This window comes from Homo sapiens, chromosome 13, assembly GCF_000001405.40.
Source record: "Homo sapiens chromosome 13, GRCh38.p14 Primary Assembly".
NCBI lineage: Eukaryota > Metazoa > Chordata > Mammalia > Primates > Hominidae > Homo > Homo sapiens.
This window is the reverse complement of record NC_000013.11, coordinates 43,661,693-43,677,591: the sequence shown is the minus strand read 5'-3', so window position 1 is coordinate 43,677,591 and position 15,899 is coordinate 43,661,693. Positions and strand designations below refer to the sequence as shown.

At 39.4% G+C, this 15,899-nt stretch overlaps 1 protein-coding gene across 28 annotated transcripts in view; it reads left to right on the top strand.

Annotated features, from left to right (window-relative positions):
• Positions 1-15,899, top strand: part of ENOX1 (ecto-NOX disulfide-thiol exchanger 1) — a 573,843-nt gene that overhangs the window by 109,381 nt on the left and 448,563 nt on the right. For 12 of the 28 annotated variants that reach the window (NM_001347963.2, NM_001347971.2, XM_047430424.1 and 9 more), the window contains one exon: positions 10,048-10,113. The exons of 1 other annotated variant lie outside the window; for it this stretch is intronic. In NM_001347963.2, coding sequence (NP_001334892.1) covers positions 10,083-10,113 — 31 coding nt within the window. In that variant the 5' untranslated portion in view covers positions 10,048-10,082. Of the gene's footprint in view, positions 1-10,047 lie in introns of all 28 variants that reach the window. 15 more of the 28 variants (XR_007063686.1, XM_047430421.1, XM_047430422.1 and 12 more) reach the window with 3 other exon arrangements.

Genomic DNA, 15,899 nt, shown 5'->3' with positions numbered 1-15,899 from the left:
ACATTGGGCTCAAGATTTGAAGGAAAGAAGAGAAAGAGCGCTCTAGAGAGAGGTTGTTTTGAGTATGAAGGGAGAAAATTGTCAGTATTTGTCCTATTTTTGAGGGCTCAGTTTCTTGCCCTTTCCAGTTTAGGTGGCATTGGCACTCTACAGCCTCCTGCTTCCAGCCTCAGAGCCACCTGTACGATGTCTCATAGTGGCACCAAAAGCCCTCATCTTGAATCTTTGCTTGTTCCTGACCCATTGCTTCCTTTTGGCCACTCTCACTCATGTGCTCTTTGCTCTCCCTGCCTCCCATTGGCAGTCCATCTCCATGGCTGACTGACTCGGGCTTTTCCTGGGAGCAGGCTCTCTGAACCCAGGCCCCTCCAAATTACTCCCAGTTTGCCTTCATGCTTGCCATCTGCCTTTCCTGTATTCTCTGCCAATCTCATTGACTACACTCCCAGAAAGGAAAGAAAATTTTAATGATATGAGAAAATGGGAAAGTGATGTGTCCAGAAGTAAAAAGGGTTCTGTAGGGCAGATTGGACAGAGAGATAAGGCCTTGTTGAAGGGTCTTGGTGGGAGACTCGGTGGGCAGTTTCAGAGGGTGACCCACTTGAGTGTTTAATGGCAGGGCAAGTTTCAACTCTACTTTGTGTGTGCTGAGAGCATATTACTGTGTATCTTTGTGAAAGTATTGGCAAGACAACCAGTAATAAATGGAAATGACTCCATCTTCATAAGAAGGCAACACATATGACCACCATGATTTTAGCCCTGACAAGTGATTTTCTAAATCTGTAGACTGGAGGTCAGGGTGCAACGGACCAGCTATCTCAAACTTCTTTTCCCTGAACCCCTTTCTGTGGGTGTTCTCAGTCCAGTTATTTCAGGCCCCAGTAACTGTGATCACTGTGATCATGCATAATTGCCTGTTGTTCCTTAGTGGGACTGTGCTTGCAAGGTAGGGGTCCTTTGGAAAAATATTATTAGAGAAAAGCAGCAGAGAGGAAGTCTGCAAATCAACTAGAAAACAACCAACCCACATTTAGTAGGAACAGAAAATGTATGACTCACAGGGACAAACATAGAGGCGGACACCCCTTCACTGTTTCTCTTTCAGACTTCTAAATTTGAGGTGGGAGTCCTCACAGCTCTGAGGGAGAGCCTGGTAGATGAAAAATGAAAGTGTATTTTTAAAACTTGTACAGGTAGTATACAGACTAAACAAAGTGTCCAGGCTTCCCAGTCCTGCCCCTAGCATGTGTCTTTAAATATGATCTGACTTATTTTAGTGGTAATTTCATCTAGATAAATTGTATTCCTTTAAATAATGTTACAAAGACCAGACCTGTGAACTCTTTGGTTCTAGTGTTTTTGTCTTTTTTTCCTAAAATGTGTGCAGTGCTTTTGATGTTCTTTGAGAAACCTAAAGACTGGATGAAGAATTCCAGATGAGGCTACTGATAGGCCTGTGATTCCTGGGCATGAGTGTTTCTTCCATTCATGAGGAATCTCCACCTGTGCAGCCCTCAGAAGGATTTGGAGAGCTTGTGCAGTAGATGCCTTGTGGTTCATAATTTAAATGTCTGTCTAAAAATCTATGCCACAATATACCTTAATACTTGATTTGCTCTCTGTAAAGTTTGCTTTGGTGTTAACGATCTTTTGGTTTTATCAGCCACATTTTATGGGTTATTAAAATAGCACCTGTGATGGGATGAGCAAAAAGAAAATGGCATGGGTGAGGGAGCAGCACCTCCACCCTTACCTCATCCGAGAATGTTCTCTCGCAGTGCTTGCAGGGTGCCCCACATGCTCCAGATGATAGGCAGAGGGTGTGATGTACGGCAGGGACTCCTGAAAGGAAGCCGGGCCCCTCCTTTCAGTGCTGCTGACTGCTTGCTGTGTGACCTTCAAAAGACCTTTCACCTCATTTGCCATCAGCTTCCTTGCATGTTAATTGGGACAACAATAACAACCCTGCCTCTCTGTTCTTCGAAAGATTGCTGACATGATTTAAAACTTGCTTTGAATTTCAGAAACAGTATTAAAACATATATGTTTACATATATCCATGTATATATGCATATATGTGTGTGTATATGTGTACACACACACATTTGCTATTCATGCTAAGGCAGAGATCAAGCAAGCTGAACTTGATTTCCCTTGGAGGACTGAACATTCCCACTGCTTCCAGAGATCTGTACCATGGCACATGGCACTTTGTGTGGTCTTTGTAGCTAGGGTTTTCCCCATCTCAGTGCATGGTCTCTCCTCTCATTCAGAAATCATCTTTGATTCCTCTTTCTTCTTTATCCCCTACATCCAATCTGTCCATCACCAGTCCTGTCAGCTCCTCTTTAAATCCATCTACTTCTGCTGCTCTGTTGCTACTACTGTAGACTAGACCACCATCATCAGCCTCTGTTGATTGCCTCTCTGTGATCCATTTTCCATACAGCAGCCAGAGTGACCTTTCAAAAATGTAGAACACATAATGACAAGCCCTGCTTGAAACTATTCAGTGGCTTCTTGGTGCTTTTAGAATGAAATTCAGGCTTCTAAACGTGACCTGCCAGGCTTACTCTAGCCACTCTGCTGGTTACCTTGTTCACTGTGCTTTAGCCAAGCTGGGCCTTTCGGTTCTTCAGCTCACCACATTCTTTTATACTTTAAGGATTTTAAAGACTTTATTTTGAGGGGCAGTTTTAGGTTGGCAGTAAAATTCAGTGGAATGTACAGAGATTTCCCATATAGCTCCCCACAACCCACATGCATAGCTTGCTGTATTATCAGCATCCCCCAACAGACTGCTACATTTGTTATAATCCGTGAACCTGTGATGACACATCATTGTCATCCAAAGTTCATCATTTGCATTAGGGTTTGTTTCTGGTGTTGTATATTCTATGGGTTTGGATAAACGTATAATGACATGTATCCACTCGTAGTATCATACAGAATAGTTTCACTGGCCTTAAAATCTTCTGCCCTCTGCCTATTCCTCCCTCCCTTCCCTCCCCCACAACCCCTGGCAGCCATGGATATTTTCACTGTCTCCATAGTTTGAGTTTTCCCTCAATGTCATGTAGTTGGAATGGTATAGTATGCGGCCTTTTCAGACTGACTTCTTTCACTTAGCAATGTGCTTTTAAGGTTATTCCATGTCTTTTTATGACCTTGAGGATTTTGCTGTAGCCTTTTGCTCTGTTTGGCTTTAAATTTTCACCTTATTTTTCTAGCCTCTCATCACCCTGTTGCATTTTCTTCATAGCACCTATTGCACTCTGACATTCTCTTTTTGGTTTATCACCTGTCTTTCCCATTAGAACTTTAGCTCTGTGGGAGTGAGAGTCTTGTCTTGTTCCTGGCTTGTACTCCCAGTACCTAGAACAATTCCTGCTGCATAATACATACTCAGCAGATGTTTGAAGAGTTAAATGCATGTGTGTCTTGGACATTCGTTCTTTTTAGCTTTACTCTTAAGGTGACAAACTCTTTCATTCACTCTGCTCCTGGTTTGGTCCAGAGAAGAGGCAGAAATTCATGTTAAGTCACTGAGTCTGGGAATTATTTCTTGTTCACCTTTGACTTCTGAAGCTCTGCTGGTTTTCTGCTGAATTTAATGGGTCTCCAGGCGAATGGCAGTTTGGTAGCCTTGGTGGGAATCAGTCACGCGGCAAGAGAGAACAGAGGCAGTAGAAAATGATTAAGGGAAAATTGCAGAAAAGTATGATTTAACATTTTTTGAGTCACACATTGTACTCAAAGCTGTGTATAACATAAAAAGCAAATTAGGAGACAAGTCAGATATAAAATGAGTGAGCACACACAAGCACACAAATACTGCAGAGAGAAAGGTATTTCTTCAGATGCCTTCTTTCATTTACCAAACTGTAGTCTTATCAAAAAATATAGGCTACTTCAGGAGAGAAATAGTCCAGCCAGTGTTTGTAGCCCAGTTATGCCCTGTGGGGCACAGAGAGGCCTCAATTTCATTACTGGGTTTTAAAGAAACTTTCTCTTAGGCTAACAGACTTTCTAGAGAGGCCAAACCAAGTGAAGCTGAGTTAATGTTCTCATTAAAATGTTAAAGAGGCTTTATTCATGAACGACTGAAGCTGTAATTGCTTTATCCTTGTAAACTATGAAAATATGTGGTGATCTCTTATAGAGGCATTCACCCAGTCCCTGTCAGGAAGAGCTTTGTTTAGTGGAGGGCTTGGCTGCACCTAGGGACTGAAAAGTGGATCCTCTGGGTGAGTCGTATGTGTCAGGGATATGGTAGAAGTGGTGGTAAGGGGTCCTCCATCAATCTGTTTTAATTTTATAGATCTTGTTTTGTAAGCATGATTTGATCATTTGAACTTGAGTTCTAATTTGGAAATCATATGAGAATCGAACATGTATATATATATATATATACACACATGCAAACAAATTTTATGGAAGGAAGCAGGTTTTTAAAAACCTGCTTTTTTTAAAAAAATAGGTTTATCTTTTCTGTAAGCCATTGCTTATTGAGATGGGAATAGAAGAAATTGAAGATGCTGATGTACTGGTGAAACTAAACAAAGAATTGATCTAGAAAAGGTATGGCATGTGATTTGCAGGGTGAGAGGGCACTCAGATGGCTTTGGGAGGTAAGAGACTTTTTTGTCCCTACTTTTTGCTGTCCTTCAATGCCCCAGTACAAAAACATAGCTGTAGAACTGTAGGTAGTGAATTCAGATGGCAAATGCAACTATTTTTTTCTTTCTGGAAATAAGGATGAAATCAGACTTATAGCACTGAAATCATAGAGCGGTGGTTTTTATATAATTAGGAAATTTATATTGGAGATCTCAAAGTGAAACTTAAGAGGAAAAGGTTAGAACATTTTACCTTTTCTCTAATTCCTTATTATTAGAACCCCTGTTTGTTGAATGGTAACAAATCTAGGTCTCACGATATGCAGATATAATATGAGCAGTATCTAGGGATTGCTTTAAAATGGTGTAGAAGGAGAAAATATCTTTTCCTCATTCAACCTAAGTTCGTGGCTGATGCCCCTCTTAAAGAAGACATTAAAAAGAGAAAAGCATACAAATTTATTTCATATAAATTGTACATGACAAAGAAGCCTTCGTATGGACATAAAGACCTGAAGAAATGGTTAAACTTGTTTATTTTTATGCTAGGTGATGAAAAAGTGGATAGTTGTGGAGAAATAGGATTGGTTAAAGGGAATATTATCTAACGGTAATAAAGTAGGAGAGATTTACCAAGGCTTTACTTTACTTTAGTAAATTTACTTTAGTAAGTACTTAACTAAAGTTTTTACAAAATACTTTACTTTGGGTTAGAGTTACACTAAAATACATATATCCTAGAAGTGTCTACATTTTTTTCCTTCAAAGGGTCAACTCCTTTTCAGATGTAAGTGCAGGGCGTTTGTTAAAACTGGCTCAAGTCTGAGGGGGCAATGGAGTTGAAGGTTAACAGGAAGCTCGCTCTCTCTATGATAGATTGGGTAGGTTTCTAAAGAGTTCTTTTCTGAAGGGGTGATGATCTCAGTCCAATGATGTCAATGGTATGAATGGTAAAAAGCACCTCTCATAGTTTTTGAATACAAAGTAGATTCCAATATCTGGAACACTATTGATGATATTTAATAAAACATATTTTTTAAATTATTAAGACATTTAGAGCAAGTTACAACAAATTTCCACTACTGGCTTTTCCACTAAACTCTTGGTTGATTGAAATGGAGTGACTTGCTATCTCGCTCTTGGGGAACTGCTAGCCTAGTCCCTGAATTCAGAGGTGAATCCAGAGAGATAGGGATCCTTGAGCTCTATCCAGACACAGCTCAACTTGTCATGTCTCCTCTTCCCCTTCCACAAAATAGGATTCCAGTCCCTTTCCTGATCTGTAGAGCAGATCTATTCTAGGGGTTTCTTTTTGGCTTGCCTCGGAAATCGTAGTGGGCTGTGATCAGGTCGTCACTTCCCAGGGTGAGTCAGAAACCTTTGAAGAAATGTAATGGTGTAATGAGACCTTCAGTAATAATGGGGTATGTGTAGAGAGTATCATGGGAACAAATAGAGGGATTGACTAATTTATTCTAGGCTGCTGTAGTTTTTGAGAACTTTTGTTTGCTTTCTAGAGTTTTCCATTTATTCATTTGCTGTTAGAATGTTGACACATCTGACTGCTCAGGGTCTCTGCCCAAAGCAGCACCTCTTTTCATTCTAGTTCTGAGAGTTGAGTTACATCCAACACCCTATATTGACCTTATGATTAGATGATGTGTTAGTCCGTTCTCACACTGCTATAAAGATACTAACTGAGACTGGCTAATTTATAAACAAAGGAGGTTTAATTGACTGACAGTTCTGCATGGCTGGGGAAGCCTTAGGAAACTTAGAATCATGGTGGAAGGGGAAGCAGACATATCTTACATGGCAGCAGGCGAGAGAGAGAGCATGCAAGAGCAGGGAAAACTGCCTTATAAAACCATCAGATCTCATGAGATCTTACTATCACTAGAAGAGTATGGGGGAAACCACCCCCTTAATCCAGTCACTTCCCTCCCTCAACATGTGGGGATTACAATTTGAGATGAGATTTGGGTAGGGACACAGAGCCAGATCATATCAGATGTCAATACCAAAAATCTAGGGGAAATTTTCAAAATGCATTATTGTGTGATATTTTCCTTCAAATACTGGTGTTTTGTTGTTGTTGTTGTTGTTGTTGTTGTTGTTTTGTTGTTTGAGATAGACTCTCACTCTGTTGCCCAGGCTGGAGTGCAGTGTCGCGATCTTGGCTCACTGCAACCTCCACTTCCTGGGCTCAAGCAATTCTCCTGCCTCAGCCTCCTGAGTAGCTGGGATTACAGGCATGCCAGCTAATTTTTGTATTTTTAGTGGAAGTGGGGTTTCATCATGTTGGCTAGGTTGGTCTCGAACTCCTGACCTCAAGTGATCCACCTGCCTCAGCCTCCCAAAGTGCTGGGATTACAGGCATGAGCCACCGCTCCCAGCCCTATTTTCCTTCAAATACTTAATTCAGTTGTGTCTTAAGGCTTATGTTGATTGGCCAGTGATTGTTTGACTAGTTAACTCATTCATTCAGCAAATATTTTGGGAATATGTACTCTATTTCAGGGGCATATATGGTATCTAGGGGCTGGAATAAAAAGATTGGGAAATCAGATTTGCCTACAAAGTTTCGTTCATAGTTCATATGTTGAAAATAAAGAGTGAAATACCTAAAGGAAGCCAAATTGCTTTTCTGCAGTTCAAAGACTATATGCAAGATTGCCATATCACAGCCTACTCTGTAGAGTTCTCCATAAGTGCATTTCATGTGGGAAGTGGTACCAGATGTTTTCTATATTACGATAATCTTCATATATTTATTAAGCTGTAACTTGTAAGGCTTCCTAATGGGGCATTAAATGAGGCTCTTTGTGTGCTACTCTGTGTCGTTGTAAAGAAGCACTCTGTTAATTCCTGCCTTGTCATTTATCTGGCTCTTACTGGTAATGAAGCGTGTTTCAGTCATTCCAGGAGGGTTTGGGGGATATGCAGAAAGAGGAATAAGAGTAACAGAAGAGTTGGTTTCATGGTGGGTTGGAGGAAATACACTTAGGGAGAACCAGGGGTAGAATGAAACCTTTGGTCTAGTATGTTTTACATCTTTATCCCCTTTCAGTACAACAGCCAAGTACTCCAGAATTGTTCTACATTTTAGGAAATGCTAAGAAAATGCTAGGTTTTGAAAGTTTTTCTTTCCTCTCTCAATCATTGACCTGGCAGTGGGTTAGGAGAATCCGAGAACTCCCAAGAATTACAACGGAACAGTCTAGGAGTCGAGCAATTTTCCTATCATTTCTAAGCTCTATGCTTGGGAAGACAGGTTATGTACTGATAACAGGGATTTGATTCCAGGAAAGAAAAGAGAGGATAGAAGAGGGAAATAAAAATGTGGGGACGTTAGTGAAGAAAAGGGAAAGGAGCAAAGAAAAAAGGGAAAAAAAGATGTTTGGTTGTCCTTCCTTCTCTCCCTTAGCTCCTTCTTCTCACAAAAGGAAGGGCCTTAGCTCCTTCTTCTCACAAAAGGAAGGGGTGAAAAAATGGGCAGATTGAAAGGGAAAAGAAGGGAGTTGAATTAGAGATAGGAGGGCACTTGGAGGTAGTGAGGGAGAAGGAAAATGAGTCAGAGAAATCACAAGAATAAGTGAGGGGGAAGGAGATGGGATAAGAACTGTTTAAATTCAGGAGGAAGAGAAGGGCTCAGAGAGGGGAGTGCATACTTTGGTCACACTGAGAGCCTTCAATTACTCCCAGCAGGGCATCTGCCAAATAGCCAGTGTCCCTTGCTGAAGACATTTTCCTGACTTTTGTATTAACTTTAATGTGATTCTCTTTATGGTCCCCGTATTGCTGGTTGCAGTTTCATTGACACTCTGTGTGATCAAATAGCAAATGTGGAGGTACAGTTCTGCTATTCCTGCCCCCTTGCAGTTTGCAGCCGACTTCTGAGTAGTGCATCTTGTGTTTGATGTTTGCCATTCCTCCTTGTCTTGTAGGATAGTTGAAAGGGAAGAGACGTGTTCCTAAGGGCTGTCACATTTATAGCTCATGCATACAAATATTAAAGAAGCTGAAAAAACTTGATAAAATCACATTTGGATATTTTTTTGAAATAAGGTAGTTGGCTCCTTGCTGGTCTAGTGACCTGCCCTCATTCACTATACCTGTAGGCGGACTGCTTCTTAAAAGATCTTTCCTCATCCTTTTTCAATACTCAGCTCAGGAAGCCTTCCCAGTGTTTCCCACCTGGGTCAGGTACTTTCTAAGTGTGTACCAGTACCTTCCCCTGCCCCTGGCTTCTTGTGCTGACCTTTCCCTATTAGATCTATCATGCCATGTGGTAATTTTTATCCTTCCACTTTGGGGCTCTTTACACAGTATTAGTTATTACTGAGCACCTAGTTATGGAACAAATAATGTCTATCTTCAATGTCTACAGATGCTGGTCTTTAGAGTGTAAAATACTTCCAAATTTGGCTATGCTTTTAGTTATCTGTTTACAATTAGTCTACATGTTCTGGAAAGAAAAGAGATTTAGCCAGATGTAAGGTGTTTCTGGAGAGTTTAGTAGAATATTTGTTTCCAGATTCGTGCAATTATAATAGAGGAATTGTGATTCCATTAAGTTTTAGATACCAGAGGATGGTCTTGAAGTTCGGGGCAACCTATTTCTTATGATTCTAGCACTCACAGGCCTGATGTATAAGGCACTTTAAAACCATGCTTCTCAGACTTTAATGTGCAAAGGGATTATCTGAGGATCTTGTTAAAATGCAGATTCTGTTGCAGTAGGTCTCAGGTGGGTTCTCAGATTCAGCACTTCAAGCTCACTGGTGAGGCTGATTTTGCTGCCTGTGGACCACACTCTGAGTAACAAGGCTTTAAAATACTTTCTAGAAAATAAAGTTGGGATTTATCCTATGAAAATATCTAGGTGCACTTTATAGTTTGCAGAACAACAAATTTCCTGAGAGAAAGCTTATAAGTGTGTAACTCTTATTTCAATTTGGAAACTTGCAAGAATTTCTCATACTTAAAAACAGTACGTCTGATACCAGTCAACCCCTAAAACTGCTTCTGAATGACATTTTTAGATTGTACTGCCATTAATTAACACACAGCTTTATTTATTTAGGCTTTCTTAGATTTGGGAGGCCCTGGCCCTAGCACTGGCTTTAGTGTAGCTACTTTAGCAACAAAGACTACTTTTAAAGCAGAAATACTCTTTGAAAGATTGACAGTTCGGAGGCTTTGTTTATGATGAGACCTTCACATTTATTGATTGTTACCAAGTTAGCACCATGCGGAGACCTTCTCCAAGGGCATTCAATTGCAGTGGCCAGAAATGGAAAGGGCTATGTTCAGCTCGAACTTTGCAGGCGAAACCTTGCATCTGCTTACATATATATGTTCAGTCAGCTCTCTGAAATTGATGTTTGAAGTTTTTTCTAACAAGATGGCCTTTATTTTACAGGTCCTTTGCTGCCAGCATGATGTCGTATTTATAATATGTGGAGGAGAGAGAGCTCACCATGCTCAGGTAAAGGGATGGTATGTGCACCACAAATAACAAGCAGGTTGGTTGTCACCATATGGGAAGGGATGTAGTTTAATTATACCTCTGGCATCATTCTCTAATGTGTGTCTTAGTTATATCTGGGGTTCAGAGGGCCTGTGGCAGAAGATCTCTGAACTAACATGCATTTGGGGAGCATTTACAAAGTACCTGTGACAGGGCCTCTGTAAACAGCCAGCAAGGAAATAGGACTGGTCACTTGAAATCTCTTTCCAACTTCTATAGAGTTTTCATAAAGGTACTACCATTGTTCATCTTTATCACCTTATCATGAAGCCTTTATCTTTTCAACACTTATGTAAATACATGAATATTGAAGACTTCTAATTAAAGTCTTATCTCTGTCCCCTTATCTAAAGTTATCCTTCTAAATTTCCTTTGCATTTTCTTTAGAAATAAGTACATGTCTCACAACTTTGATTTGCCCAAACAGGTCACTTGAGATTAATTTTCCATTAACCTTTATTGCTTCTGTTTCTTTCTAATCACCTTCTTAGAGGATTAAACAGTCCCCATTGGGTTAGTCTCTCCTTAGGATATGAGCTATCTTTTTCTTTGATGCCCTTTATAGAACTGACGTGGATGACAGTGATCTATATCATCCAGTGACCAAACCTGGACCCATTAACTGAGCCAAAGCTTCCATAGATAGACCCACATTAGGAGTTCTGATGACCATGGTAATTTTGTTATTGGACTTGCTTATTTTGTGACCCAGTCTGTATTAGTCTCATCTGACTGCCTTAACAAAGCACCACAAACTGGCTGGTTTATACAATAGAAATTTATTGTTTCACAGTTCTGGATTCTAGAAGTCCAAAGTCCAGGTGTCAGCAGGGTTGCTTCCTTCTAGGCCGTGAGGGAGAATCTGTCGCAGGCCTTTCTTCTACCTTCTGGCAGCCTCAGGCATTCCTTGACTTATAGATGGCATTCTCCCTGTGTCTTTACACTGTCTTCCCTACATGTGTGTCTGTGTCTATGTCCAGGTTTCCTTTTTGTAAGGACACCAGTCATATTGGATTAGGGTTCACCCTAATGACCTTATCTTAACTCGATCATCTGCAAGGACTCTATTTCTAAAAATGTCACATTCATATGTATGAGAGATTTGGATTGCAGCATCTTTTTGGGGTACACAATTCAGCCAATAGCACTATAGGGGTACAGGCATACCTCAATTTATTTCACTTGGTTTTATTGAGCTTTGCAGATACTATGTTTTTTTACAAATTGAAGGTTTGTGGCAACCCTGCATCCAGCAAGTCTATCAGCATCATTTTTCCAACAGCACATGCTTACACTGTGTTCCTGTATCAACATTGTTTTAGCAATAAAGGATTTCTAAATTAAGGTGTGTTCATTTTTAGATATAATGCTATTGCACAATTAATAGAGTATAGTATAGTGTAAACATAACTTTATACGCACTGGCAAACCAAAAAGTTTGTGTGGAACCGAGCCTGTAATATATTCAAGGCATGCCTGAAGTGAATTCCTCTAGATAACCCTAAAGCATCTAGTATGGTGCCTGCTGCTTAATATTTGTTGAATTAGCGAATGGCAAGGACTATAAAGGCCATGGCCAAATTTAATTTGACAAAGCAAAGTGCAGTGACCAGAGGTGGGCAGGTATTACGCTGGCATTTGTCCTCAGGGAGCTCTTGCCTTCAGTTTAGTCCAGGCTAAACAACCTCATAAATGAGATAAGAGTTTTCCTTTAAAATTAGTAGCAGATGGGGTTTTTATAAAATATAGCCCTTTGTGTGAGCCGGTACTGCTGTCTGTGTTGGCATCGCAGGTTGAACTGCCAATTTACATGCCGCCTCTATCAGTATATCAAGATATCTTTCCAGCTAATTCAATACCGTTTAAATCATACTTAGCCAGGCTATTCTTTCTTTCCAGCTGCATCTCTTTGCACTTATTAAATTTAACATTCTCTTCTCTGGCTTTAATCTCTAAATGCTATCCTGAAATAGATCTGCCCTAATCGCGTCTTCTTCCTTCTTTATGCATCCTTAACTCAACATTATTACAAGTTATCTTTTGAGTGTTCAGATTTGGGTGTTGATAAATTATTAGGATACTGGTCTCAAGGTAGCACTTAAATGATCTGTTCTTTAGAGTTGCTTATTTGGGAAACCCTTTATTTCCTCTTGGGGTAGTGCTTTCTAGCCATGTCTACTGTTACTTCCAGGAAAGGATTACCTTTTTAATAGCAAAAGGGAGCCTCCTGCTGAGAAGAGTGAAAGTCCAGGGTCAGATCTCCTCCTAGGAGTGAGGTAGGCATCTTTAGGAGCCCTGCAAATTCACTTAAGCCCCTGGATTAGTGCTGTGTGGAGCTGCTGTAAGCAGGCAGACCAGTGTCTAGAGATTGACTGTGTGGGTCAGGCCCAGGCCTCCAGGAAGGTGGAATCATTTACTTACAAGCTTTTCCAGCCCCGCAGGAGATTTTGTGTTCCTGGGGGTGGGGCTGCAGGCTGTCCTATGGCCAACTGATAGCATTGGCTTAGACAGCAGTGGATTTATAAGATGATGACAGGCAGTAGAAAATGAAAATGAAAGTAGAAATTCATTTTAGCATTTTTCTGACATTAGTCCTAAGAAAATTGGTAAATCAAACAGCAAATATTTATGGCATGTGTGATGCATGCAGGCAGAGTTCCACCAAATACCAAATATAGATGTATAACTTCATCCTGTGTCTCCATTGCTTACTTTTCTTTTCCATTTTATGCAAGAGCTTACTACCCTTGATTAGAGGTCTCCCATAACTTTTCACATGAACTCTCCTAGTGTGGCTTGTGGGCATGTCTATAGGTTTCATTAAAATTGAAACAGTTAATTTGTTTTGGTTATACAGTGATCAAACAGAGTGATGGTGGGCCAGCCCTTGCTGGCTGCAGGTAGGGCCTGGTGAGCAATTATATTCTAGTAATTCAGCTGTCCCAAAATAGCCAGTGAAGTACTCTACAGTGTGTGCTACAACAATTATAACATCCCAATAAGTCTTATTTTAATAATTAACTTATGTGTATCTAACACTTCTCTATTATTAAGGAGAAAATAACCCAGAAATAAAACCTCAGGTGCCTTGAACATGGAAAACAAGTTTTATTGTTGTTGCTTTGTCTTTACTCCATTTTGCATTCTCTAATTTCACATTTCTGAAAACTCAGCTATAAGATTCTCATGGACTTGATAATAATTTGCTAACTTGTTAAACTCTGATTTTAAAAAAAGGCAAATGAGAAAAATGATTCTTATGTCTTTTTAGTTAATAATTAACATGGTAAGTTTTTCTTAGATCTCTGACATTAGAATGTAATTATTATATTATGGAAAGTATATTAATTAAACAAATTATACTTCAAAATTCTATCAACATTTTTCAGAAAATTTTTGTACACAAATCAGTTAAAATAGGAATCTTAATGTCTGCTTTCTGTAGGATCTTCTGCCTCTCCCTCTGATGGGTCCATCTTTGCTTCATTTAAATCATGAGTTTATGTTAAGTGCTTATGAGCTGGTAATATAAAAATGAGGAAGAAGAGCAGTGGCTTTTGGCAGGGAACTCAGAAGCTTGGAATTCTCTTTCATCTACATTTAGTTACCACTAAACTCTGTCAAATTTCTGTAATTCTTTCATATTTTTACTTTCCTTTTTTTAAATCTACGATTATCCTTTCCAAGCATTTCTTACCTTTTTCTTGCTTGTTCATATGACCACTCTGTTTTGTTTGTTCATTCGTTTGTTCATTCATTCATTCATGTAGTACCCTTTGGACGTGTGCCAAAAATTGTTCTGGGCATAGTATCAAGTATATTATAATTTATGTGGGAGAAAGCAATGATTTTTGCATGACTATGATGGAGCTATAAAACTAAGTATACCTTTTATATAGGAAACAGAGCAACTAAACTGGCTTGGGACAATTAGGAAATACTTTATAGAGAAGATTGTATTTGAATGGAAATTGGTAGGAGATGAGTGGTAGAGAGAGAACATTCTAAATGAAACAGAGGGGAGATTAGCAGAGTGGTATGAGGGGGCAGGGCATGTTTCTGTATTCCATGCTGTTTAGGTACTGCTGGAGCATAAAGTGTGAAGAGGGATATAGGGCTGGATGAGACTCTATAGGAAGGCAGAAATCAAATCTTGAAGGTCCTTTGACACATTGTTGAAGCTTCTTTTGTATGTCTTCAGTTCATCCTGCTCCTTGCAGGGAGAATGGCTGTGTGAAAGAGTGCTTATATCCTGCCAAACTCTTCCTTTATGACCTTTGTCCTGGTCTCACTGCTTCACCCTTGTCCTGGTCTCACTGCTTCCAAAGGGAAGTCAAGCTCTCTTTAATTTACTCCATTGAATCATTTACTCTACTAGATTTGCCTGCTTTGCTTTTCACACAGAATTGGTTACTTTGCTCTCTTAGATTCCATTTTCAAAATCCTTCCCTCCTTTAAGACCTCACTGAAATTCATATCCTTTATGAAAACTTTTCTCTACTCATGAATGATTTTATCCCTTGTGAATTCCAGAACTTTGAATAGATGCTGCATATTGCAATTTTCGCATGCTTCTCATATATCACAAGTTATTTTTATAACATTCTTAGACTATCCACATGTTGAAGGGAAGGGCCATATACCTATCTTGTATCCTATTTATGCTGGAAGTGCAGCTTCTTGCATTTATTAATAGTAGACATTGCATGGATGTTTGTTAAAACGGTAGAGGAAAACAGAGTTCCTTTAATTTGAAAGGCTGCTACAGAGGTAGAACTGAGGGATTGATTAATTGTCATCTGGAAGGGGTAGTAGTTAACATAATGTCCAGATGAAACTCTTAGAGGGAAGAATAATTGTCAGTGAAGGTAGAAGGATTACATTAAACAAAAGTCAGAAATATGTACAGAAAAGAGATGCAGTTTGAAAATCAGTTAAACTGCCCAAAGGTTTAGACATGGGAAGAAGATACTTAGAAAGCCATTCAGCATGTGTGATTGTCTTTGACAGTGAGTGACAAATGGAATAACAGGGAAAAGCACCTATATTGCATGGAGATGCTCTGCATTATTAAATAAAATGGCCTCTGGAAAACTTGATTCAATTTAAGACTTCTCAGTTGCAGATCTGGAGACAATCACAAATTCAGAAATATATTTATGAAACTCTGTTGCCACTGAGCTCAAAAGACCGTAATCCTATTACTTGTGATTTTGAAAAGGGTAAACATGAAAAACTGAAAAGAGTTATTGATTAAAGAAGTAATATGAACAGGAATAATGGAATTAAAGTAATTGAGGCAATATCGGGCCTAATGGACCTTGTTCTCTTAATGCCTTTCTTCTGCTTTTGTATTGAGTTGGCCCCAAAGTCGATAGGACTATGTGCACAGAAAGAGAAGGACATGATGGAAGAATTAGTATTGCTGTCTATAAAAAAAAATCAATCTGTTGTTCTTGCAGAAGAACATCAATCAGTCTGTGAAATTAATTAACTGGATTTTTTTACATTTGGCTTCTAAGATAATGAGACAAATGATGAGAAAAGACTGCATGCCTTGCATATAGTAGATACTCGGTAAATGTTTCTTGAATTGAAAACCAAATGATATCACAGATTTAGTTTAAAAACTACTTCACTGTAAGTCCTTTTATCAGTCCTAATTCAGTCCCGTTTCTTTTACTGGGCTGCCTGTATCTATAGTACTGTAAATGTAGATCCCTCATTTTTATTGATTCTTGCTC